Source organism: Homo sapiens, chromosome 16 (genome assembly GCF_000001405.40).
Source record: "Homo sapiens chromosome 16, GRCh38.p14 Primary Assembly".
Lineage (NCBI taxonomy): Eukaryota > Metazoa > Chordata > Mammalia > Primates > Hominidae > Homo > Homo sapiens.
Window position 1 is genome coordinate 85,774,544 of NC_000016.10, and position 25,145 is coordinate 85,799,688.

Consider the following 25,145-nt stretch of genomic DNA (forward strand, 5'->3'; position numbering starts at 1 on the left):
GGTGAGCAAGAATGGGGAAGGGGAGGATGGAAAGTGGAGGAAGACATGGCTTTTTGCTGGCAGCAGTGGGGCTGCCCTGTGCAGTCCTCTGCCACAGCCTCTGCTGCTTACTGGGTGTGCAGCCTCAGGCAGTCACTTCTGCAGCCTGGGCCTTGATTTCCTTGTCTGTCAACTGGAACTGTCATAGGGTTGCTGGGAAGGCAGATGTAAACTGCTCTCATTTGGGAATGAATGGTTTGATTCACTCATTCAATAAATGTTCACTGAAGGTTTCCTATGAGTAAGTACCTCTCAGGTCAGTCTGGTCAACAGAATGTTCTATATTTACCAAACAACAACAACAACAACAACAACAAACCAGTTAAGAACTTTTTTCATCATGGCTCGAATATTCTAAGTATTAGCAAAAGCGCTGTGGTCTCCGTAACACCCATGCAAGCAGGTGTTATCACTACGAGGTAACTTGCCCAAGGCCACAGAGCTAGAAAGTGGTAGAGCTGGGATTTGCCCCCAGGAGGCTTTGGGAGCAGCACCCTAACCCCCAACCACACTAGCTCCCCCTGCTAGTGGAAACCGCAGGGGCTGTCGCAGCTCTGCCGGGTTATCTTAAGAATGGGGACCAGGTGCGGTGGCTCATGCCTGGAATCCCAGCACTTTGGGAGGCCAAGGTGGACGGCTCACTTGAGGTCAGGTGTTCGAGACCAGCCTGGCTAACATGGTGAAACCCTGTCTCTACCAAAAATACAAAAATTAGGCAGGCGTGGTGGTGGGCACCTCTAATTCCAGCTACTCAGGAGGCTGAGGTGGGAGGATCACTTGAACCTGGGAGGCGGAGGTTGCAGTGAGCCGAGATCACACCACTGCACTCCAGCCTGGGTGACAGAGAGGGACTCTGTCTTACACACACACACACACACACACACACAGAATGGGAAACAGGCACTGCTGGAAGCAAGAACAAGATTCTTTTTGAGAAAGTCCAGCCTTGAAGAAGAATCTGTATTCTTAGTAATGAAGGGAATGCAGAGAAGAGAACCTGGAGGCTACTGAATCCTGGCCCACCTTAGAGGTTTCACTGAACTCCTCAGTGAGGGTGGGCACCCAGGGTGCTTGGTGGAACTTGGGGGTCCTGCCTCCGGGGGCCGAGAGGGCAGGCACTTGGGCCACAGAACGTCATGAGTATTCTGAACTGCAATTCTTTAGGTGTATTGATGGAATCTAGAATTTTTTCAGCCAGCTCTAAATACAGGATGCTATTCTGCTTTACAAGGTAACACAGCAAGTGAGAGCTGAAGGGCTCCTCTAGTCAAACTCAAGTGGCCGCCGTACGGGTGCCTGTCACTTGGCTCTGAAAGCAAAAGACCAAGAACATGATTCTCGGCTGTTCTAAAGCTGGGCTAGATCTCCTATTCCACAGAAGTCTTCAGATGGCTTCTCTAATGGCAGCACTTCAGAAACCTGCAAGGAAACATCTTCTCCAAGAAGTTAATCCTAAAAGGGAAAAAAGGCTCCTCAGAAGAATGGTGATTCACTTCTTCTTCTTCTTTTTTTTTTTTTTTGAGACAGAGTCTCACTCTGCTGCCCAGGCTGGAGTGCAGTGGTGTGATCTTGCCTCACTGCAACCTTTGCCTCCTGGGTTCAAGCAATTCTCCTGCCTCAGTCTCCCAAGTAGCTGGGACTACAGGTGCACTCCACCCCACCCGGCTAATTTTCGTGTTTTTAGTAGAAACGGGGTTTCACCATATTGATCAGGCTGGTCTCGAACTCCTGACCTCAGGTGATCCAACCCCCTCGGCCTCCCAAAGTTCTGGGATTATAGGCATGAGCCACCACGCCCAGCAGGTGATTCACTTCTAAGAAATAACAAACTCGATTAGATATTATGTCCCATTCAAGAATATTGTGAGGATTTTAAAGAGTAACGAGTCAACTTTATGAGGATGAAAATATTTACATTATCTCCTGGATTCTGAGATGTATGGAAATGAAGTCAGATTAAGACACCACATACCTGAGAGTTGGCAGGGGCAACGCTAGCAATTCCTACCAGGCATTTGATTGAACTGAAAAAAAAAAAAAAAAAAGTCCAATGCATAAGAGGCATTAAGAGTTGATGGGAAGCCTCAAGAAATGTCAATTACTAAAGCGGAAGTCTATTTTTAAGTTCGGCTATCTTCACTAAAATTGCTAAAAATGTCCGTATGGAATAGAGTTTGCTGCTCAAGGCTATTTTTCTGCTTCTATTTACCATGATGCATAAAGTAGCTACTGTGGCAAGAGAAGTGTAATGCTAAAAAGGAGGTTTTGGAAACACTGTCTTGCCAATGCAAATCAAAACAAAAAAGGCTGATGTGAAAAGCTGAGAAACGCACTTCGCAGAAACAATAGGTTTTTCGAGACAACTACCAGAAAAATACGCTATTAAAGTAATATCAGGATGGAGTAGAGGATCACTTGAGCCCAGGAGTTCAAGGTTGCAGTGAGCTATGATCCTGCCACTGCACTGCAGCCTGAGTGAGAGCGAGACCCTGTCTAAAAATAAAATAAACCAAAGCTAATTATACAAGGACTTTTTACATCCAGGAGGCTTACAAATACCAGATCCATGGAAAACTGACTTGAAAATTTAACTAAGATGTCTTAGTTTTCTGCTCTAAAGCAATCCAATTTCATTAGCAAAGTTGACTTTTCCTTAGTAAGTGCACTGCTTTTTAGAGTATTTATGAAGTTACTGCCTATCTTTCATGTTTAGTACCCTCGGATCTTAAAGGTAACCATGACTAGAAATAGAATATGACATTTTCATATAAACTAATAATATATGTGTCTTACTTCTTAACGGATGGATGCTATGAAAGATGAAAATGGCCACCAGAATGACTGTAAGCAGATGGCTGGCTCTAAAGGCAGGTGTCTCTAAACACACGTCAACATAGGTGTAACCCCTCTCAGATTTAGTTTAAGAGACAGGGTCTTGCTAGTTGTCTAGGCTGGCCTCAAAATCCTGGGCTCAAACCATCCTCCTGCTCAGCCTCCTAAGTAGCTGGAACCACAGGTGCACAGCACTGGATCCTGGCTTCAACATTTTGTAGGGCAGATTTTCAACATACAAACATACTTTGTGTTGCTCCTGTCTTTCCTACAAAAAAGCAGAGTGTGAGTAAGTTTCAGGTGGCTCTGCAACAGGCTTGTTCTTTCACCCTGGGTGGGGCAAGATAGAGCCTAAGCTGAGGGCCAGACTCTGTCTTTTTGGGGAGGTGGTAAGAGGGAGGCAGCACAGGCCACACAGCACAGTGTGTGTAGACCAAGAGAGAGGGGTCAGCACAGGGTCTAAGGGCTCAGCAGAGGCTTCTGCTATTTTTACAAGGAATACAGGAGCAGGTATCTGCACTTTGGAAATCTGTTTTGGCTTTTCACAAATATATCCTTCCCTTCAGGGTATCTCATATGTTTTCTTTAGAAAATTTAAGCCTGACTCAGCCATAGACAGGGAACAGGTTATGTGGCTTAAGCTTTGGCCTAAATCCAAAATAGAGGACAGCGTATGCTCCTGGGAGGCAGGAGGAGAACCAAGGAAATGAATACCACGGGGAGGTGACACAGAGGGAAAACCACCCTGAAGGGTTTTAGGACAGCACATGCTCCTGGGAGGCAGGAGGAGAACCAAGGAAAAGAATTCCACAGGGAGGTGGCAGAGGGAAAGCCACCTTGAAGGGTTTTAGGAGGGCTGTGTCGTTAAAATGCCTCCCAAACGAGCCTTCACCAACCTTCATTCCAAGTAGCTCTGCCAGCTGCCCTGGACTTCTAACTGGAGGGGCCTACGCTGCTGTTTCAGTCTCAGGACAAAACAGCTTCTTACGTGCAAATGCTGGAGGTGATTCTTCTCCCTTTATGAAACAAACCCAAGCCCATTCGGAACAAGACTGCCCACCTCGCTCCAGCTGTGATGCTTTGGCATCCAAGGGCAGGGGAGAGAAGGGGCTGCACAGACACCTCACGCTTTCCTGTGCTCCCCACGTGAAAGAACGCCAGTTTAAAAAATCAAGAGTAAGAGGTATTTGAAGAAAGGGGAAGAGAGAATTTGGTGGATCAAATAAAGCACATTTATTGTAGCGATGTCTGAACTTTTTTCCTATGTGTTAAGAGAAAATAGTGACCGCTGTATCACAAACCCTTTCAGGTCACACCGATCGTTACAAATTCCTCCATGGAGTCAAAGAAAAGACAGTAGGAAAGGTACCGCTCTCTGAACTTTGTACAAAATAATTCATATAAAAAGGAAAAAAGGTAAACGTACCATAAAGTTTCCCTCTCAATTCCCTAAGGTTTGGTTACAAAACTTGACCAAATGTTCTAAGTATAAAAAGTACAGACGTCACTCTGCACAACTCGGGAAGTCTAAGTCTTGTTTTTCCTAATACAAAAGAAACGATCATTTCCCTTTCCTGGCCCTGCAGGCACGTGAGCTTTCTGCGTGGCTGAAGAGCACCACACTGAGCTCCTGCTACCAGAGATGTCTGCTTTTGCCCCTAACGATAAAGGCTTCTGTGGCATCAGTGGTGTCACTCCCGCTGGGCAGAGTTGCGGTGGCTCTGTGAGCCGACACCATGTGGAGCAGTGCTGTTCACAGCCCAGCCTACCTGACCACAGAAACACCCACACAGAGCTTCTCAAACAGCTCAGCACCAGCACTCCACGTGTCTACCCTGATCCCAGGACGCCTGGACGACATCAAAATTCAAACAGGATAAAAACTCACAAACACACTCATTGGAGTATAAGATGTGGGCTTTTTTTTTTTTTTTTAAAAAAAGATAGTTCAAAAGCCTTAAAAAGTATTCTCTCCAGATTATAAAAGGTTAGTTAAAACTGTTTAATAGGAACAATCTTGCACAAGCAGAAAGAGCTTTGATTTGGAGGATTATAGCAACATACAACTGAGAGAGTCCACAGGGACAGTCAGACGGGATGTCTGCACCTCTTCTAGAGACTCTGTGTTAAAAACACGACCGACTGAACATTCTGCCCCCTTTCAAGGCACATGCCACTTCTTAAAACGGTCAGCTTTCCACACAGGCTACAAGATATTTTATTTACATTTAAAAATAGGTTTTCTTCTTCAACGTAGTGGAAAGGCCCGGAGCCCAGTCACAGCGGTGCCTGCCTAGCACAAGTGTAGGACAGCTTTATTGATCTCTGGGTTTGTCCAGTCATTCCGAATGTCATCCAGGTGGTTATCGAAATCCACGAGCGTCTCGTAGGACCGGCTGTCCAGGAGCGAGGCTGAGATCCTCTGTGCCTCTGGCCAGTCTTCACAGTAGTCACTACGGGTCAAACATGAAGAAGTCAGCATCTAACAGTGAAAACGGGCGGCTTGTAACAGCATCAAGAGAGAAGGCCAGCCACATGCACAGTGGTATGAACAGAGATGGTGCAGAGTACTGAGAAACATGTGCATTTCAAACGCATGAAGAGGTATACAGAGCATAGAAGACATGGTTAATACATGGAAGGGACGCCTTTCACGTGGAATTCTGAGAAAGTTGGAGGCAGATGACTGAAGCTTTCTGAGTGGCCACAGATACATCAAAGCACAGGCCTGGGAAGAGTGTCTGTGCTCTAGCGCCTGGGGTGGGAAGACCTGTGGGTACCACTGAGGTTCCCTCTACTGCCTGGAAGCGCTGGAACACTGGGGCCTACAGGAGCCGGGGAATATGCTTGGTATCATGCTTCTGGAGAAAACGCTAACTGAAAACACAGGCGGGGTGAGAGTGGCTCTCACGTGGCCGGGCGCTGAAGGAGCCCAGCCCGCGCGGCAGCATGGGGCGCACTCACTGGTGTGGGTCTCTGCACCGCCATCTGTTCTCATGGTGCTCGTACACGTGGATCGTAGGCGCTACGCAGTCCATCGTAAACTTGGTGTTGTCTACCTGAGCACAAGGCAAAGGACACGAGAGTGAACAGAATGCCAGCCAAACAGCAGCGGCAGGCGCCTCCTCGGGGCTCTCCCTGCAGCCGTGCCCACGCTGGCTGGGGCAGAGACTCTTCCGACAGAGCCTGTATGCAGAGTGGCGCGAGTGTCTGGCCTGAGGAAAACTGTTGTGTCATGCAGGAAAACGTCAAGTCCTTCATTGTTTTTTCACAAAAGCGAAGCTTCCAAACATGACTTCTTCCCTCATCCTAGGATTCTGTCTGAATCAAGGCTGTTCAGCAAGGCCCTTGATGTCATCTGCTCACATACAAGGACCTTCCTTCCCTGTGCCCCTAGAGGCTGTGCTGGCTGTTCTAATTGTGCTTCTCACACTTGGCATGTTCAGACCAGAATCATCTAGAAGGTGTCTTAACATGGACTGCTGGGCTAAACCCCCGCATTTCTGATTCAGTGGGGTCTGGGGTGGGTGCCTGGGAATTCGCATTTCTAACAAGTTCCCAGGTGCTGCGGCTGGCAGGGGACCCCACTCCCACTTGTGTAGTGATGCGGAAGCACAGAAGCCATGGCCTGGGATTCAACTGGTCTGCAGCTGAGAGAAAACTGCAAGAGGCGGCAATGGTCTCAAGCAGATAAATGAGTGAAGGGGTTAGCGGAAAGGAAACCGCCGCAGAGCAAGCTCCAGGTTGGTGAGAGGAGGCGCAAGGGCCTCCCACATGCTGCACAGAAGCGACTTACCATGATGAGCGCAGTGTCGCTGAAGCCCTCGGCGATTCTGGAGGCCACCTTCTCTGCAACCTGGTTTGGACTGTCAAAGAAATAGGCTACCACATTCCAGTTAATGCCATTCAACACTGTTTACAAAAGGCACAGTCAACACCACTGAGACTTAACAAGCAATGACAGAAAGACTGGCAGAGCCAACAGGCTGCACGTGCTCGCTTCGCTGGTTTACTTATTATTTAATTTTTTGGTAGAGATAGGGTCTTGCTCTGCTGCCCTAGCTGGAGTGTAGTGACGCAATCATAGCCCACTGTAACCTCAAATTCCTAGGCTCAAGCAATCCCACCTCTGCCTCCTGAGTAGCTGGGACTATAGGCACAGGCCACCACACCCAGTTACTTTTTAGTGTTTTTTTTTGCTTTTTTTTTTTTTTTTTGGTAGAGAGGAGGTATTGCTATGTTGCCCACACTGGTCTTCAACTCCTGGCCTCAAGCAATCTTACTGCCCTGGCCTCCCAAAGTGCTTACAGGCATGGGCCACTGTGCCCAGCCTACTTATTTATTTGTATTGCTGGGGAGAGTGTGAGTGCAGTTCCCCACATATGAAGAAATCGCAGGGGTCAGCACATCTGGAGTGCAATGGACGAACCTTGCCCTGGGAAAACCACCTTTGTGATCTTGGTATTTTCCCTGACAGGTAAATACGTTTTGCCTGTTTAAAGTGGCTGATGACAGCCCCACTGTGATGGCTGTGGCCAGCAAGGACAGGAAACGCTGTTGGGTAATGGGGCGCACCGTGTAAAGCAGGTCCTTGCCTCATTCCAACCAGAAAGCCCTGGTGACGGGGATCTTGAGAGAGCATCTCCTAACGGAAGGCTCCCAGGAAGCCAGTGGAGAGTCGCCTGAAGCGGGCAGTGAAACTGCTGCTGGGCACCTGCCAGCTCCTGGGCCAAACTCCAAGCCTCCCGGGCCCGCCTTCTCCATCTGCACGCTAGCAAAGCAGCTTGTCCACTGTAACAAGTAAGAGCAACCTCAGGGCAGCTGGCAGTCCGTCACCCTCTGAGAAATTCCTCAGCCTTTCCACATCTTCTCCACGCTCATGAGCCTCCACTGCTGGCTCTGGCCCTGCCGCCACCCAACCCTGATAAATGACACCTTTCTACCTTAAGTTAATAGAGCTAATAATAGAGCAGCTCCTCCACCATTCCTGCACCATGTCTCCAAACACAAAGTTATTCTTCTATCCTATGCCAGGAAGGGGCCTTCTCCTCGGGGGCCTTATTTATATTCTTTCTGTGCCCAAGCCCCAGTTCTGCCTTCAAATCTGTGTAAGTCTTTATTTTCAGGGAAAAACAAAAGCATTGAACCGGTTCCCTCTAGCTGCTGTCCAGCTTCCCTCCTCCCTTCCATGACTGTTTCTTCAACTTCTTTAACAAGCCGCTAGTCTTGCTCCATGTCCTCACCACAGCTCTGTGCAATCTGCCATCTAACCCATTCCCTTGCAGAGCAGCACTCCGGAAGTCTCCTGACCACTGCCTGATGGCCCCAAGACTGCTACCCCCTCAAAAGCCTCCCAGCGGGAACCCACCACTCTCAGGCAGGCCAGTCCATTTCCAGCCTCTCCGACCTGAGGCCACCTTTCCCTCTGCTCTTCCCCACCCTGCAGGCCACAGGTCCTTTCTCTGCCCTCCTTTCCTGCATTCTCCCTGTCATTTATTTCCTTCAGTCTCTCACCTTAGGCAGGGGCTTCTAAAACTGCTTCCTAACCGGTCTCATAATTTCTACGGTCACTCGCTCGCTCTCTTTTTTAAAGAGACAGGGTCGGCTGGGTGCAGTGGCTCACGCCTGTAATCCCTGCACTTTCGGAGGCCGAGGCAGGTGGATCACCTGATGAGGTCAGGAGTTCGAGACCAGCCTGGCCAACATGGTGAAACCCTGTCTCTACTAAAAATATAAAAACTAGCTGGGTGTGGTGATGCACATCTGTAGACCCAGCTACTCCGGAGGCTGAGGCAGGAGAATCGCTTGAACCCGGGAGGCGGGGGTGGCAGTGAGCTGAGATCATGCCACTGTACTCCAGCCTGGGCAACAGTGAGACTCCACGTCAAAAAAAAAAGAGACAGAGTCTCGCTTCGTTGCCCAGGCTGGAGCATGGTGGCTATTCACAGGTGTGATCATGGCCACAAACTCCGGGTCTCAATCAATCCTTCCTGCTCAGCCTCACAAGCAGCTGGGACCACAGGCACGTGCTACGAAGCTCAGCTTAGGCTCTTCTTATCCGATGTAACCTGAAAATTCTCCTGAACTAAATTTTCCTAAAACAGAACTTCCATCACGTCCCCTGGTGCTCACAGCCCCACAGACTACTGCTCACCACTGCCTGCAAGATGAAGGCTGCTATTCTCAGGCTGGCAGAGGCAGGCCTTCGTTACGGTGAACTGAGCTACCGTGTGCAGCCACAGGGGCAATGCTGTGTCTTCAATGTCAGGAAATCTGCCTACATGTCATCTGCCTCACATGCCCGTCTTGTTTCACTCACACTGTCCCGTCTGGCCCTCCACACCAAGGCCTCCTTACTGAATTGCTTCCCCTCTTTCAGTGCCCAGAAGACATGCCACCCTCACCACAAAGCCCTGCTAAACCCTGGATGAGACCCCCTGCCCTGCTGGAGTTCTGAGGATTTATTTCTAAGAGGCTCTAACACAGAGTCCATGGCACGTGCTGCTTTCCTTCTGTGCATCCTGTCTGCCCTGCACAATCAAGGCTTTCAGCTTTTTGTGGCAGGGACCAAGCCATCCATCTTTCTTTTTTTTTCTTTTTTTGAGATGGAGTCTCACTCTGTCGCCTAGGCTGGAGTGCAGTGGCGCGATCTCGGCTCACTGCAAGCTCTGCCTCCCGGGTTCACGCCATTCTCCTGCCTCAGCCTCCCAAGTAGCTGGGACTACAGGCGCCCGCCACCACGCCCAGCTAATTTTTTGTATTTTTAGTAGAGATGGGGTTTCACCGTGTTAGCCAGGATGGTCTCGATCTCCTGACCTCGTGATCTGCCCGCGATGGCCTCCCAAAGTGCTGGGAATATAGGCGTGAGCCACCGCGCCTGGCCCCATCTTTCTTTTAACAGCCATAAAAATACATGCATTATTGTGAGTTATTTAACAAAGCACACTATATACAATTACAATCCTTCCCTTGTGATTAGGCTAAAAAAAATTAATAATGTTTTTAAAAAACAAATTATTTTATATGATTATTGTATTTTCGTTTTCAAAATTGACAAAGTGATGTACTGATTATAAATCTGCAGTATTAAGAAAAATATGACTTAAAAATGTGACTGTGTTAAGAAAAATATGACTTAAGAGGGAAGGGGAGGTTTTCAGGTAGAAGCCAATCGTACTGAAGAAAGCAGTGCGATGGTGGCTCCTAGCGCAGAGGGAAGGCAGTGCTTCACTGCACTGACCAGGACTCGGTGGGCGCCAGGTCCCCACAGCACTAACGGCAAGTGGTGAAGAGTGGGTACAGAGCCCTCAGGAGGCCTGCCCATGTACCCACCTCTGCCTGCTCCTGCATTTGCTGAGGAACTTGGAAAGCAAAAGGCAGGGCCGCTTGCCATGAAGAGCTTGCAAAGCCCTTACCCTCCTACTTAACACTGATCATGCTGGTTGTTGATTTTTATTGGGGAGAGGGTAAGGAAACACTCATTAAAAAGAAAAACTACCATTGCAGATGCTCAAGAACTCTTAACATCTGTCTTTCTATTCACTGATTTTTGAGATGGGGTCTTGCTCTGTTGCCCAGGCTGGAGTACAGTGGCGAGATCATGGCTCACTGCAGCCCCAACTGCCCAGGCTCAAGTGATCTCCCACCCCAGCCTCCCTTGTAGCTGGGACCACAGGCGTAGGCCACCATGTCCAGCTAATTTTTGTATTTTTTTGTAGAGATGAGGTCTTGCTATGTTGCCCAGACTGGTCTTGAACACCTGGCTCAAGAAATCCTCCTGCCTTGGCCTCTGAAAGTGCTGGGATTACAGGTGTGATCCAACATGGCTGGCCTAAAATTTATTATTTTAAAAGAAGTCTAAAAATTTGTAGTTGGCCGGGTGTGGTGGCTCATGCCTGTAATCCCAGCACTTTGGGAGGTTAAGGTGGGTGGATCACTTGAGGTCAGCAGTTCGAGACCAGCCTGGCCAACACGGTGAAACCCCGTCTCTACTAAAAATACAAAAATTAGCCAGGTGTGGTGGCAGGTGCCTGTAATTCCAGCTACTCAGGAGCCTGAGACAGCAGAATACTTTGAACCCAGGAGGTGGAGGTTGCATTGAGGCGAGATCGTGCCACTGCACTCCAGCCTGGGTGACAGAGTGAGACTCTGTCTGCTCTGCCACCGCCCCGCCAAAAAAAAAATGTGTAGTTAATGAACTGTCAAAGTATTTGAAACAGCTGCCAACTTTGCATTTCTCTGTCTTAGGCACTGAATCTCCAATACTGATCCACTTGATCCTGAATGAAGACTGCCACGCTGTGGTTCCTGCTAGTCAGGAACTCCTTGTTCCTAGGAAGAGCCAGCTGCCAACTGAAACTGCAGGCACCCTGAAGGCAGACCACTCTGCTCACCCTCAACAGCACCATGTCGGGCCAGCGTGTAGGTGCCATCTTACAATGTGTATCTAAAAGCTTCCTCCTGAGTGTCTGCCTCAGGCCAGGGCTCTCTGCCGGGCACCGAAACCTACTCATATCAAATGCTAACTATGAAGCAAAACACTGGCCAACAATGAATCATATAATAAAACTTGATGGAATGACCTAAAGTTTAGGAAATTCATAAAAGTTATAAACACTACGTTAGAACAGTAATAGAAAAAGTCATCACAGCACTAGTAACAGCACCAGCCACTACTGTAAACCAAGCACAAGGACAAACACACTGCGCAATTTCATTCTGTCCTCATGACTACTCTCTGAGGCATGAGCTCAGCTCCATTTTACAGACAGGGCCACAGAGGCCCAAGGAGGTTAATCAGTAAGTCACCTAGAATTTGAATCCAGGTCTACTTGGCTCCAAATCATGCTGCAAGACACTGTGAATGAGGCAATATTTCTAGAATAAGAAGAGCAAATTTTCAGCTAGGTCTGGCTGAAGAGAGGGGAAGGTTTTCCAGGCAGAAGCAAAACCATACTTAAGTCAGAAGTTGGCATGATCCTAGCTCCTGAGCTCCCAAGCTGTGTGGCCTCTGAGAAGCCACCTTCTCCGGCTGGTTTCTTCACTTGTGCATTGCTGTGAGGATGAAATAAAATGACCCCGATAGAGCCCAGGGATAGCACGGCATTACCTACCTGAGGTGTCCTCCTCAAACAACTGGGCACAGCGGGGGAGGGGGAGGTGGATTCCCTATTCCAGGGTGGCAGACTCCTAGCTAAGGTTTATCCTCTCTACACATCTGACAAATGGCTGCTCCGGATGCATTTAAAAGTCAGTATTAATGAAGGACTGCAAAACCTCCTGGAGGACGCAGAAGGACGTGGACTAGGTGAGGATAGGGAGGACATTCTAGAAGGAAGGTATGGAGAGCAGGAAAACTGTGTCCGAGTAGGATAATTCCAGGCTGGGCTGTAACGAGGTCAGCACAGAGGTAAGAACATGAGAGCTGTGAGCCAGATGAGGCATGCGCAGAGAGGAGCATAGGAGAGCCTGCGCAGGTCCATGTGGGGCGACCACATCAGGCATGGATTTGCAGGTGGGGGATTAAGGAAAGGGAGGCCCCTGCCCTCATCTGACAACCTGGTGCCATTCCCACTTGCCCAGTCTCCTCTCCCTTCTGCAGGGACAGCCACGGCAGACACTGCTTGGTCCAGGAACACCTTCCTGCCAAGGGTGCTCCCCACTGCTTGCAAGGTGAAGTTCAAAATGCTTCTGAGCACAGAGGAGCCCTCAGCTGTGGCCCAACCTACCTGTGCAGCCTCACTTCCTAGCATCTCCCTCCATGTGGGCACGGCCCCAGCCCTTGCCACGTCCTCACCTGTGTCTGCTGTCCCCCCAACCAGGAATGCTGACCTCCTGGTCTCCACGTCTGCACTTGACAAGGCCCTGCTCACTCTCGAGGGCCTGGTTTACAGGACACCATGCCCTGGACTTCTGGGATCATCCTACCAGGTCTAAGTCTCCCGGCCCCTGCCACCAAGCCCCCTGCAGGGGCCGCTGTCCTGCACCACAGCCTGTGTTTGCACTGTCCTTCATGTTCAACTCAGCCACGTGAGGGCAAGGGCCAGAGGGCTGCGCTTTCCTCAGCCCACGCCTAGTCTTTCATGTAACAAAGACTAAGATGGATGTGGCCCCGTGGGTAGGCTCTCGCTCAGTGAAGGCACTGAGAGGGGAGGCACTGATTCATCAACAAAGGGAGGCAGGCGATATCAAACAGAGGACATCCCAGTGAGAGTCAGAAGAGATGCGCTGAAGGCGGAGAGGCCAGTGCTGCTCGTGGGCTCAGAGGAAGCAGCAGAAGAGCCAATGTGCATGGGGATTCCACGCACTCCCAACCGCCTTGGCAGAGGCTTCAGCGGACTGACTTTGAGTGCAGCATCTCCTAGGACATCTGCCTCCCTCAGGATCCTGTGCCTGGACCCAGCCCTCCTAGGGTAAGATAATTATGTTTCTAAATTTGGGTTTCTTTTAGGATACCATGTTTCTCATCAGAAACACTGGTGCCTCATCAGTGATAGCAATGCTGTCACCAGCTTACTGTATTATTTCCAAAGTGCTTGAGCTCACCTTCTCATCTGTGCTGAGCAAGTGGACCCAACGGCAGGGCCCTTCACTGCACCCCCATCTCCCTGGACACTGGAGGGTCGGCTCTATCTGACAACATGAGGAAGCCACGTCAGGGCAGCCTGACGCATGCCCGTTATATACGGCGTGGACTTTCCAGCTGCCCATCTGGCTTCTGGCTCGGTTCAGCCAAAGGAAAATGGAAGGGGGACATCATGTACTGACTGCTCTGGGCCACCTCTCCCCTAATGGGAGGCCACGTCAGGCTGGCTGTGGCCACCTGCCCAAGGGCACTGCTTTTCTCAAGGTGGACTTGTTTACCCAGCTCCTTCCTCCCCACCCTTTGGGCTGTTGTCGCCAGCCTTGTTTACAGCACGACCCCCTGTGCGTTATCTACGGCCCAGGCCTTGTCAACAGCCTGCTTATTAAGCCCTCCTCAGATTATCACCACCTGAGTGTGTCATCTGTTTTTCTGTTGGGACCAAGATGACGCAGACATATAGAAAAATTCTCAGCTTTGTTATTAGCGAGAGCCCCAGTTGGGGAAGGATCTGGATAAAGGAAAAGAAAGAAGGAGCCAGTATAAAGGGGGCAGCAAATACCACATTTTCATCAGAGTACTGACCCCAAACCTACAGGCTGGTCTATTTACCGGCAAATAGAGCAACATTCCTTCCCAGTGCTCTGCCCAACACCACCCCTAGTCTGGGAAGGGGAAGCAAGGCAGAGCTGAGCAGGGACAGAAGTCGGAAGCCAACTGTCGCTTTCATTGTATGAATTCCCTTCATGCAAAATAAAGAAGACACAAAACAGAATTCCAAAGTTAATAGAAATGTTTGGAATTTCTGTTGTTTGGAATTATCCACACCACAGTTCGCCTCAAATACTACAAATAAGCACAGAGGGAAGGGGTGTAGGTCTCACAGGTTTCGTATCTGGCCGAAAAGCACACGAGAGACGGGGTCTGCCCAACACGTGCTCACTTCCTCGCCCACAGAGGGTTCTGCATCCACGTACCTGGCATCCTTTACTCGCTCATTAGCTTGATAATAACCAGCAATCACGTAGCTATGATCTTTGCACCATGAATCAATCTGAAAGAGGAACAAAAATTGGGAAAAGATGAATGACTCTCCCTTAAATATCAAGTCGTAAAAACCACAGATCTCACTGCCACATGCTGGGACAAGACATGACAGAATCTTAATCCTCATACCCTACACCCCAGAAGAAAGGGTAGGACTCAGGAAAAAATGGTCAGGAAGGGCAGGACTTTGAACATAAGGAATGACTATCTTCCTCAGTCCCAGCGAGAAGACCCTTTGTCTACAGGTACTGGATTGGTACAGTGCTGCAGAGAGTCAGAGGGAAGATGACCTTCACCTACCTTCTCTTATACTATAAAGAACTGGGGCTTTAGAAATGCTTAAAATTATTTAAATCATTATCCTTCATAGTTAAGGAAACAAAGCTTAGAGAGGTTCTAAGTTTGCACAACCAGATAGAAACAGAGCCAGAAGGGAATCTCAGTCTCTTTCAAAACAAGTCTTTTAGGCCAGGCACAGTGGCTCACACCTGTAATCCCAGCACTTTGGGAGGCTGAGGTGGGCGGATCACCTGAGGTCAAGAGTTCGAGACAAGCCTGGCCAATGTGGAGAAACCCCATCTCTACTAAAAATACAAAAATTAGCTGGGCGTGGTGGTGGGCGCTTGTCATCCCAGCTACTCGGGAGGCTGAGGCAGGAGAATCACTTGAACCCCAGAGGGGGAGGTTGCAGTGAGCCAAGATCATGCCACTGCACTCCAGCCTGGGTGACAAGAGTGAAACTCCGTCTCCGTCTCAAAAAAAAAAAAAAAAGTCTTTTATACTCCATCTCAGCATTCTAAGCACCGCATCATGAAATACCCCTCAGTTGGGGTGTAGGGTAAAGAGGTCCCAAGTTAGGAAGGGGCACGTGCACATGTCCTTAGTTCTCTCCGGCGTGCTTTGAAATGGAAGCAAGGTGGCAGACCTTTGAAGTTTTTGGGTTTCTTTTATGGTACCATGTTTCTCACCAGATGCAGCTTCCTGCAGGTCTAAGGCCATTATTCAAAACAACAAAAGCTCATCCTGTTTTGGCATAATGGAATTTGAATACACTGTAATAAAGTCTATTCTCAGTCTGCACAAGAGGAAACAAAATTGGTACCTTGATTTTTTTTTTTTTGTAGGGAATAAACTGGTTAAAAATGGATGTGTGTGTTTTTTAAACACAATCCTATTGCTCTTTTTCCTAAATTCTTGTTTGGGCCTCTGAGTCTCCTTCACGACCAAAAGCAGACAAGACAGTTACAGTCCAAGGGTCCCTGCCTTGCACAGGATTAGGATATTTCTGGCCTCCTAAGAGTTCACGAATTACCATATTGGGTCAAAACCAGGGCTCAGTGAACCAACTAGACATTCTGGTCATCCACCCAAAAGATCAGGATTATGTCTGTAAAATATCTATAATGGTGCTATCATTGTGACTTTGCTGAAAACAACTCCAAAACGACTCATATTTTGTTTCTATCACCTCTTAATGGAACAGATTCCAGAAGCTTTCTATTGCTGCTTAGAACAAACATCTCTATACACTATCAAAGGGGCTTGCTCTAAATTTGGTCAAGTTCCCTGATGAGCTGATCCTTGAGCACCGTGCTCCCAGCCTTCATGTGCCATCATGGGCCGGCCTCCTGAGTGTGTCCTCCCCTAAGGTGACCCACATCTCTGCCCCCCGGGTGTCCCTATCCCTGCTCTCCAGTGTAGCCTGCCCTTATTTTCACAGTCAGATTGGCCACTGTCTTAGTTTCCTATTGCCCTTGTGACAAGTTACACATACTTAGTGGCTTAAAACAACACTTTTTTTTTTTGAGAGTCTCGCTCCGTTGTCCGGGCTGGAGAGCAGTGGTGAGATCACAGTTCACTGCAGCCTTGAACTCCTGGGCTCAAGTGATCCTCCCACCTCAGCCTCCTGAGTAGCTGGGACTACAGGTGTGCGCCATCCTGTCTGGCTAATTTTTAAATTTTTTGTAGAGACAAAGGTTTCATCATGTTGCCCAGGCTGATCTTGGACTCCTGGGTTCAAGCAATCCTCCTGCCTTGGCCTCCCAAAGTGCTGAGATTACAGGCACAAGCCACCATGCCCAATTTTTTTTTTTTAAGGCAAGAAATAAATTTTATTGAAGGATTTTTCACCATCCATAGAGATTATCATATGATTGTTTTTCTTAGAATTTTTAATGCATACATTTTTTGGATTTTCTAACTTCAAATTCCCTAATTTCTTCCATTTCTGAAATAAACCGTACTTGATTAAAGTGCATGTTTTATTTTTTAATTTTTATTTAAGTTCTGGGATACATGTGCAGAATATGCAGGTTTGTTACATAGGTATCCATGTGTCATGCTGGTTTGCTGCACCTACCAACCCGTCACCTAGGTTTTAAGCCCCGCATGCATTAGCTATTTGTCCTGATGCTCTCCCTCCCCTCGCTCCCCGGCTCTGACAGGCGCTGGTGTGTGATGTTCCCCTCCCTGTGTCCATGTGTTCTCACTATTCAACTCCCACTTATGACAACATGCGGTGTTTGGTTTTCTGTTGCTGTGTTAGTTTGCTGAGGATGATGCCAGCCAAAATTTTTTATCTTACTGGTCAGAAGTCTATAATGGGTCAGCAGAGCTGTGCTTCTTCAGGATGCTCTAGAGGAGAATCCTTTTCCTTGCCTTTTCCAGCACCTAGAGGCTGCCCGCATTCCTTGGCTCATGGCCACATCACTCTGACCTCTGCTTCCATCATCCATCTCTTCCTCTCACTCTGACCTTCCTGCCTCCCCTTTACAAAGGTCTTTGTGATTACATGAGGCACACCCAGGTAATCCAGGATATTCTCTCCACCCTCAAGCCCTTAACTTAATCACATCTACAAATCCCTTTTGCTACATAAGGCCTGGGGATTAGGATGTGGACATATTTGGGGGGTTATTACTCAGCTGACCATACCATACAACATTTTCTAGGAAAAACCATAGGACATATTTTTTACTTAGCTACAGGCAACTTCCTGAAGACCCCCAGCAGCAGTCTCAGTTGGCTACTCCATCTCTTTCCTGGGCTGAAGCCACCTGGTTAGGACTCATAGCCCAGTAAACACATATGGTATCACCTTGTACCCACTCTCAGAGCACAGAAACCACCTGGTACAAAAGATGATTCCTATGACAAACACATGTATATCTCAACTTACATTTTGCCTGCTGAGGGACAAATTCCTGTAAGAAAACTCCAAGGGCCCAACCAAATTCCAGCAGAAAAATGTCATGACCTGGAACTTTAAGTAGAACCTCTTTGAAGAGGTTGCCCTTAAAGCGAACCAGGTCACAAAAGCTCTGGCCTGGCTTTAGAATTTAGAACTTTTGAATGACACACATGAGAATAACCAAGTTAGCTGTATGGATGGCTATGAGGGGTGCACACAGCCCGTTCACCAACTGAGGAATGGAGAACTCGAAGGGAGGAACGGAGACTCGGCCAAGCCTCAGCACTCACAGCGGCAGGGTGGATGAGTTCTAATAAGGGTAGTTTCCTGTGACAGTCCGGAATCTGGAACTAGGCATCAGGTGAGAGTGCCCTGGAGTGGAGTGGGCTGGGGGAAGAGGATGGGGCTTGCTGGTGGTGTAGGTGTGGGTGTGGCAGCCAGGTCTCCAGTGGCTGCAGGATCCTGCCCTCAGCCCAAATGGCTCCTGCATGAAAAGCTGCGGTGGATCTAAGTGGCAGCTAGGAGTCAAGGCAACTAGCTTCCTCCGAAGCGAGGCAAGACAAGGCACAGCCGAGAAGCCACTCAACCTCTGTTCCCAATGAATCCATTTCCATGTCCCTGCTTCGCTGTACGACACCCCACACCCTGATGTGCATCTTGTGAAAAATCAAGATGAAAATAAAAGGTCAGGAGAAAACTCTGTGGAGACTGTTGTCAATGTAGTCAAACTGACTCTGATATAGACACCTTCCGCATTCTGCACTTACTCATGCAATTTCATTTACTTTTTAGAGAGAAAGGACATTTTCACCTTGGCAGGAGTCTACCACCCTCTGCTCAATGTCCTTTTTGGCTGCTTCTGTTCCAGACATGGAAGAGAACTATTAAAAGGGCTGGGGCCACCCCTTTCATTCCCAACTAGACTCTTTGCACAGAGGCAGTAGCTTCTCACAGCAGCCTTGCTAAAATCTGCACTATCCCCCCACGCCCCTTGTGACTGTACAATAACCGTAAAGAAGGCGAGGCAGGGACCACAACTTGCCACTTACCAACAAGATGAGGGTAACCTGCTGAGCCTTCCTATCTGCAGCAAAAAGTAGGCCTTGGAGTTCAGAAGTAGAGCAACTGTTATTTTCACTGAGAAGGAAAGTTCCTTCTCAAGTCAGCTGCTGATCTTTCTATGGAATGAGAAGGAGTGGGAACCATGAAAGAAGAGCTTGGGAGGTCAATGGGACCGAGATAGAGGGTGAAGTTCAGGGGGAAGAACTCAAAGGGGGAACCACAGCATCCCTCTCCCCATCCCCAAGGTGGCACGTGAATGTTCTGGAGATGAACAAAGGGCAGGAGGGAGTAGGGGCATGGGAGAGCTCCAGGGCAGCCGCCGTGCAGAGGAGCAGAGGACAGGCCCACATGGAGGCCACAGCAAGAATTCTAGCCTGAAATCATGGTGATGAGGCCAGTGAGCAAGCCAGCAAGTCATCTGCGCAGAATGTAACAGAAAGCTACTCCACCGCACTAGAAATCAACAAGGGGAAAAGGGCAGAAAGGGATTAGAGAAGCGGGTTCAAGCTAATTTCCATACTAACATTTTATGGGTTTCTGCTATTAGGAATAATTCCTTCACTACCTACGTCAAAGGGTTATAAGGATAAATAAGTTAATAGGCGTAAGTACTTAAAAAAACATAAAAAGCATGCAAAAAGCATGCACAAATGCAAGGATTTTTTTAATGGAAAATAATGAAAAGCCTTTCAAAGGAATCTAATGTTGTCCTTTGATAGACAGTCTATGGTCTTTCCCCTTTATCAAAAACAATTCCAATAGGAAGCTCTCTGAATGGAACAGAGCCATGAGAACAAGGCCTCATTTACACAGCTGCATGGATTTAGATGCTTTGTGAAAACTGCATCTTCTATGGCTGATAACCTCATAAACTATGGCTCTAAACACTGAGAGTTTTCATTGCCTTCAGGTTAGGAAGTCACTAAGTCAAAAAGTGAATAATATAAATTTAATAGCTTAACTGAAGTACAAAATTTGTGGATGGACTCCAGCTGCAAATTTTCCCCTGTAACTTTCCTCTGAAAGTTATTTCATGGGCACTGGATTGCTGTCTTTTTCATATTTGCCCACTGCTGAGGGAATGAGTTTTTGTGAATATGAGAAAAGTCAGGGCTGAGTGCGGTGACTCACGTCTGTAATCCTAGCACTTTGGGAGGGCGAGGCGAGCGGACTGCCTGAGCTCAGGAGATCGAGACCCGCCTGGGTGACACGGTGAAACCTTGTCTACTAAAATAAAAAAGAAATCAGCCGTGCGTGGCGGTGTGCGCTGGTAGTACCAGCTACTTGGGAGGCTGAGGCGGGAGAATCGCTTGAACCTGAGAGGCCAAGGTTGCAGCGAGCCGACATCGCTCCACTGCACTCCAGCCTGGGTGACAGAGTGAGACTCCATCTCGGAAAAGTCAGTATAAATAACTATTGCCTGGCAAAACTTGCTGCTTGTTTTCACTGCTGAAGAGTAGTTACCGCAGGGAGTCAAGTGTGGACCTTACTTGCTGGATGGGGACTCATGTGGTGGGGGGAGGTGCTGGAGGCTGGATGTCTACAGTGCAGACTGTAACTAGGAATGAGGCGCGGGAGCAAGGTCAGAGTGGGCCCCTGCGGTGCCCGGTGCCCTCTCACGCTCAGGTAGCAGGCAGTCACTGTCCCCTCTGGGCATCTTTCCTCCCTGGTAAGTGGTTTGGGAGGCAGCCCTGCTCCCCCGTGGAAAATTCATGTACAGGTGACTTGAATGCAGTTGTTTATAGTTCCTGGGTTTAACTCTGTCAAGTACTGCATTCATATCCCATAGTCGGAACAGAAGTGTTTAACTCTGTCAAGTACTGCATTCACATCCCATAGTCGGAACAGAAGTGTTTAACTCTGTCAAGGTTACTTAAGAATGAGAAGAATAAGCAACATCTGACATTCCAAATGAGGTTCAAGTTTGTCTTCAAGAAGCTCCTAGAAGTTTCTGACAGGATTTTACATGGCCAGCAGCCACCACACCTTCTTCTCCCACTCCTGGGCTGGTCCTCAGTTGCTCTGTGACTCCTCCTCCACTCAACCCATAAAAGCCAGAGTGCCCCAAGCCACGTTCCTGGGGTGTGATGAGAGACACTGGTTTTCCTCCCCGTTCCTGGCTCCTCACGGCCCTGGTTAGTCTTTTGATAGAATGCCAGGTGCGTGAGCCTCAGGGGCGCTAGGACCCCACCTTCTCCTGCCCTCCTTCCACTCCACTGTTCCCTCTCCGCCTTTCTGACGGTGGGTCTTAAGACCTCCAGGAGAGGGTCCCCCCTAGACCTCGGGGGAAGGAATGCTGATGTCATGAAGCTCCCATAAAAACCCAAGAGGACGGGGAGCTTCCATGCCCCTTTCCCATACCTCGCCCTATGTGTCTCTTCATCTGTATCCTTTGCAGTGTCCTGTATAATAAACCCATAAACATAAGGTTTTCCCTGAGCTCTGTGAGTTGCTCCAGCAAATTAATCAAATCCAAACAGGAAGCCATGGAAACCCCACCTTGAAGCTGGTGGGTCAGAGGTTCCAGAGCCTGGACTTGCTGCTGAGCCCTCAACCCGTGGGCTCTGACACTATCTCCAGGTAGGCAGTGTCAGAACAGAATGCGGAGACACCTAGCTGGTGGCCGCTGCTTGGTGTGTGGGGAAACTCCTATACATCCGGTCACACAAGTCTTCTTCTGTGTTGACTGTTGGCGGTGAGAGCAGAGGACACACGCGGTTGGAGAGCTTTTCCCTACGCAGTCCTCAAGTGCTAAGACCTGCTCTCATGGCTTCAGAAGTCACCGGCACACCACTGGTTCTCAATCTACATCCATCTCTGGTCTCTGTACTCAGACCCATTCTTCACCTTTCAACCTAGGACTTCTTCATTTGAACATCTCAAACTTAACATACCCCAAACAGAAGTAATCACCTCCCCTCCAGACCTGTTTCTCTGCCTCTTCCCTCAACAAATGGCACCAGTGCACCATCGTCCCAGCGCACAAGCCAGGAACCTAGGTAACACCCTTACTTCCTTTTCCCCTAGGTCCATGCACGATTAGTCACCAAGACCTGTGGATTCTCCCACCTGCTCTCTCTTCTGTCCCCTTCTCCGTACCCATGCTGCACTCAGTTTTGCCACCTCCCTGCCTCTAGTCTTGGGTGTACTCCTGTCTCCAGCATCCTTTCTGCTGCAGGCTGGGGCCATCACTCGAAGGCACTGATCTGATCACGCAACTCTCCTCCAGTGGCTTCCCTCTGTCCTCAGGATGGTGCCCAAATGCCTCTGCATGATCTACAAGGTCACTACAAAGCAATCTGTCCACCACTCAACTCTCTCTGCCCGCTGCCCCTTTACACTCCATCCTATTGCTCTCTCCAAACTCCCCCACTCGCTCTCCTCTCCCGCCCACTATTTTCTCCTGCTCTTTGCACATGCTGGTCCCTTGAATGTTCTCCCTCCATCCCCCACCTCCTGAGGGTCAAAGGCTGGCCCGCTGCCTGCATGTTCCTTTCTCTGGGCAACCTGACTGCCCTGATTGCCCAAGCCTAGGCTGGCTGACTTCTCTCGAATCCCTTGCCACTTTTTTACTAAGCTCCGCCTGTGAGGTTTAGGTGCTGTGCTTGCTGGCTTGCTGCACCTTCAAGTGCTAAGCAGGTACTGTGTTTCATCCACAGCCATATCCCTCCTCAGCACGGGCCTGGCACAAAGCAGATACTCAAAAACATTTATTAGAAAAGTGAATAATCCCGCATAAATGCTACTGATGAATCTAGCTCCCTGCAAGTCAATGCATTTCACAGATCCAATAATTCTCTTGACAACAGAACAATTAAGATGGTTGGAAAGGCTGAGCGCAGTGGCTCATGCCTGGAATCCCAGCACTTTGGGATGCGGAGGTGGCCGTATTACTTGAGGTAAGGAGTTCAAGACCAGCCTGGTCAACACAGTGAAACCCCATCTCTACTAAAAATACAAAAATTAGCTGGGTGTGGTGGTGGACGCCTGAAATCCCAGCTACCTGGGAGGCTGAAGCAGAAGAATCACCTGAATCTGGGAGGTGGAAGTTGCAGTGAGCCGAGATCATGCCATTGCACTCCAGGCTGGGTGACAAGAGCGAAACTCCATCTCAAAAAAACAAAAAGATGGTTGGAAAGACCTGGATTAAAACACACACACACACTCCCCAGTGGTGTTTCAGTAATGACAGCAGATATCTTCAAGAGCTAAAATACTTAGTTTTATAAATATCATCTAAGTATTATAATCATCTGAATCCTACCCGGAAATGATATGAAGTTTAACTTTAACAGGCACTCAAAGATGTGCCCAGGAACCTTACGCCAGGACTCTTTGCCCAGAGATACTTCTTGCTTGCCCAGAACTGACTTGGGTGTCATAATTAGTTAAGTTATAAATGGTAGATTATGAAATGGCTTCGTTTTACTTGGTGGAGGAGGGACACAGATAAAGAAATTCTACTTACACCTTCTCAAGCTTAGCTACTTCTTACATCAATTAGCTACTATTTTTTAGCATCACAGTTTATTCTTAAATGAAAAACAAACAGCACCTCAGCTCAGGTATGCAGGTCTGAAGCTACAGTTTACTTTTCCTTCAGGTTTTAACAACTCGATGGAATTTATAGATGGTCTTTTTCCCTTCATTGATCACCGGAACTGAAAAGCTACTGCCTAAAATTCACTTACCAACTAGTCTACCTGCATGCTACATCTTTTTTCCCACTGTACTTCAATAAAGCTGTCATTGCAAACAAAAACATAAAAGCGTGTTGGACAGATCGTCTGCTCCTGCTGTTTAATGTCACAGAAATTCGTTTTTTTTTTTTTTTTTTTTTTTTTGAGACGGAGTCTTGCTCTGTCACCCAGGCTGGAGTGCAGTGGCGTGATCTCGGCTCACTGCAACCTCTGCCTCCTGGGTTCAAGCGATTCTCTTGCCTCAGCCTCCCGAGTGGCTGGGATGACAGGCGCCCGCCACCACGCCCGGCTAAGTTTTGTATTTTTAGTAGAGAAGGGGTTTCACCATGTTGGTCAGGCTGGTCTCAAACTTCTGACCTCAGGTGATCCGCCTGCCTCGGCCTCCCAAAGTGCTAGGATTACAGGGGTCAGCCACCGCGCCCGGCCCCACAGAAATTCTTTAGCTTTTAAAAGCCATGGAAACATTCTAGATAAGTTGTTAACCATTAACGGGAACAAATTCTCTTTACACAAAGCTCAGGCACATTCAATCAAGGGGAGCCAGGCCTAAGATGCATCACACAGATCTGACCATGCAACTACCTTTCTACAAGTGTCTGAGCTCCGGGGTGCCCGAGTACCGACAGCCAAAGAAGCATTTACACTTTGCCAGATAAGGAATCGGCTCTGCGAAGGTGCGAAGAACCAAATCCTAGCGATTAATGTCCCAACAACGTGAACACTTCCTGCAACTCGAAATCCTCAAGGGAAACTCTGTCGAATCCCCACCAAGTGAACGATGACTTGTTTCTACAAAGGCTACTGATTTCAGGAAACTAACGTATAACTCGTCGCCTTAAAGTGCCTCTAAAAGCATCCACGACGGTTAAAGTCGCTGCTACTACGGGACGCTATTTATTCAGCGCCAAGACCCAAGCGCCATCGTGGATCACCCCATTCCTGGCCACGGCAACCCTAGGGAGCGGGTCCTAGGAGCCTGCTGGAGGGCGACCGCTGGGCCAGCTTCCTCTCTGCTGACTGAGGGGAGGCCAGGCTGCCTGCAAGGGGAAGGGGCCCTTTCCGCGCTTACCAGGGTGAGAGCCACCTCCAGCATGGGGGCGAGGGCCAGGGTGCCGTGGAAGAGGGGGATGCAGTCCACGAAGAGGGTGTGGTGGGCGCCGGGGCCGCCCAGGGGGAGGTGCTCCTTACGCGGCTTCTGCTTCTCGGCCACCAGGAGCCCGTTGACGGCGCAGTGCGGGTACTTGGCGCCGTGCAGCACCATCTTGCAGTAGGCCTGGGTGGTCAGTTTCACCCCGGGCATGCTGACCCGGGAGGGCCCCGGAGGCCCCTGGGCGCGCGGCTGAGGCCTGGACCCGCTGCCTGGCCGCGCGGCGCCTCAGCCGAGAAGCGGGACGAGGCGGCGGCGATTGATGGCGCGGCCGCGGGCTGGCGGGGGACCCTTCAGGCCCGGCCCCGTTTGGGCCTCGGCTCCTGGAAAAGCGACTCGCGCCTCTGGGAAGCCGCAGCCCCAGACTCCAGTCGCGCTTCTCGCCCGGCGCCGCCGGAAAGCAGCCTCTCCAACGCCTGCCGGAAAGCAGCCCGGCCCGGCATTTTACGACGTTCGCAGCGCTACCCTTTTCCGCTCCACGGTGACCTCCGTGCGGCCGGGTGCGGGCGGAGTCTTCCTCGATCCCGTGGTGCTCCGCGGCGCGGC

At 49.2% G+C, this 25,145-nt stretch overlaps 1 protein-coding gene, 1 long non-coding RNA gene and 1 pseudogene across 6 annotated transcripts, besides 3 other annotated features; 1 reads left to right on the forward strand and 2 right to left on the reverse strand.

Annotated features, from left to right (window-relative positions):
* Nucleotides 710-1,210: an enhancer, noted in NCBI's record as "H3K4me1 hESC enhancer chr16:85808859-85809359 (GRCh37/hg19 assembly coordinates)". NCBI's record gives its function as "activates a minimal SCP1, AML or CMV promoter by ChIP-STARR-seq in primed H9 embryonic stem cells {active_cell/tissue: H9 hESC(primed)}" and the evidence as "EXISTENCE:reporter gene assay evidence [ECO:0000049][PMID:30033119]".
* On the reverse strand, nt 4,081-25,001 carry EMC8 (ER membrane protein complex subunit 8). 5 transcript variants are annotated; one of them, XM_017022867.2, is made up of 6 exons: nt 18,740-24,596; nt 17,679-18,346; nt 14,431-14,507; nt 6,668-6,737; nt 5,836-5,930; nt 4,081-5,324 (listed from the first exon to the last, which is right to left on the reverse strand). In XM_017022867.2, the coding sequence occupies exons 2-6, from the start codon at nt 17,751-17,753 to the stop codon at nt 5,165-5,167; spliced, it is 477 nt and encodes a 158-aa protein (XP_016878356.1). In that variant the 5' UTR covers nt 17,754-18,346; nt 18,740-24,596; the 3' UTR covers nt 4,081-5,164. The 5 variants fall into 5 exon arrangements, 4 of the variants coding, with proteins under 4 accessions (XP_016878356.1, NP_006058.1, NP_001135760.1 ...); NM_006067.5 differs by lacking the exon at nt 17,679-18,346 and having other exon boundaries at nt 24,522-25,001; XM_011522813.4 differs by lacking the exons at nt 4,081-5,324; nt 5,836-5,930; nt 17,679-18,346 and adding exons at nt 11,680-11,748; nt 11,828-11,925 and having other exon boundaries at nt 24,522-25,001.
* On the reverse strand, nt 7,232-7,356 carry RNU1-103P (RNA, U1 small nuclear 103, pseudogene; annotated as a pseudogene).
* LOC101928557 (uncharacterized) lies at nt 17,872-18,390 on the forward strand. The gene is made up of 2 exons (NR_135193.1): nt 17,872-18,051; nt 18,163-18,390. It is a non-coding gene; the product is annotated as an uncharacterized LOC101928557 (long non-coding RNA).
* Nucleotides 24,354-24,960: an enhancer, noted in NCBI's record as "H3K27ac hESC enhancer chr16:85832503-85833109 (GRCh37/hg19 assembly coordinates)". NCBI's record gives its function as "activates a minimal SCP1, AML or CMV promoter by ChIP-STARR-seq in naive H9 embryonic stem cells {active_cell/tissue: H9 hESC(naive)}" and the evidence as "EXISTENCE:reporter gene assay evidence [ECO:0000049][PMID:30033119]".
* Nucleotides 24,723-24,892: a silencer, noted in NCBI's record as "silent region_7822". NCBI's record gives its function as "represses an Ori minimal core promoter by ATAC-STARR-seq in GM12878 lymphoblastoid cells {active_cell/tissue: GM12878}" and the evidence as "EXISTENCE:reporter gene assay evidence [ECO:0000049][PMID:35858748]".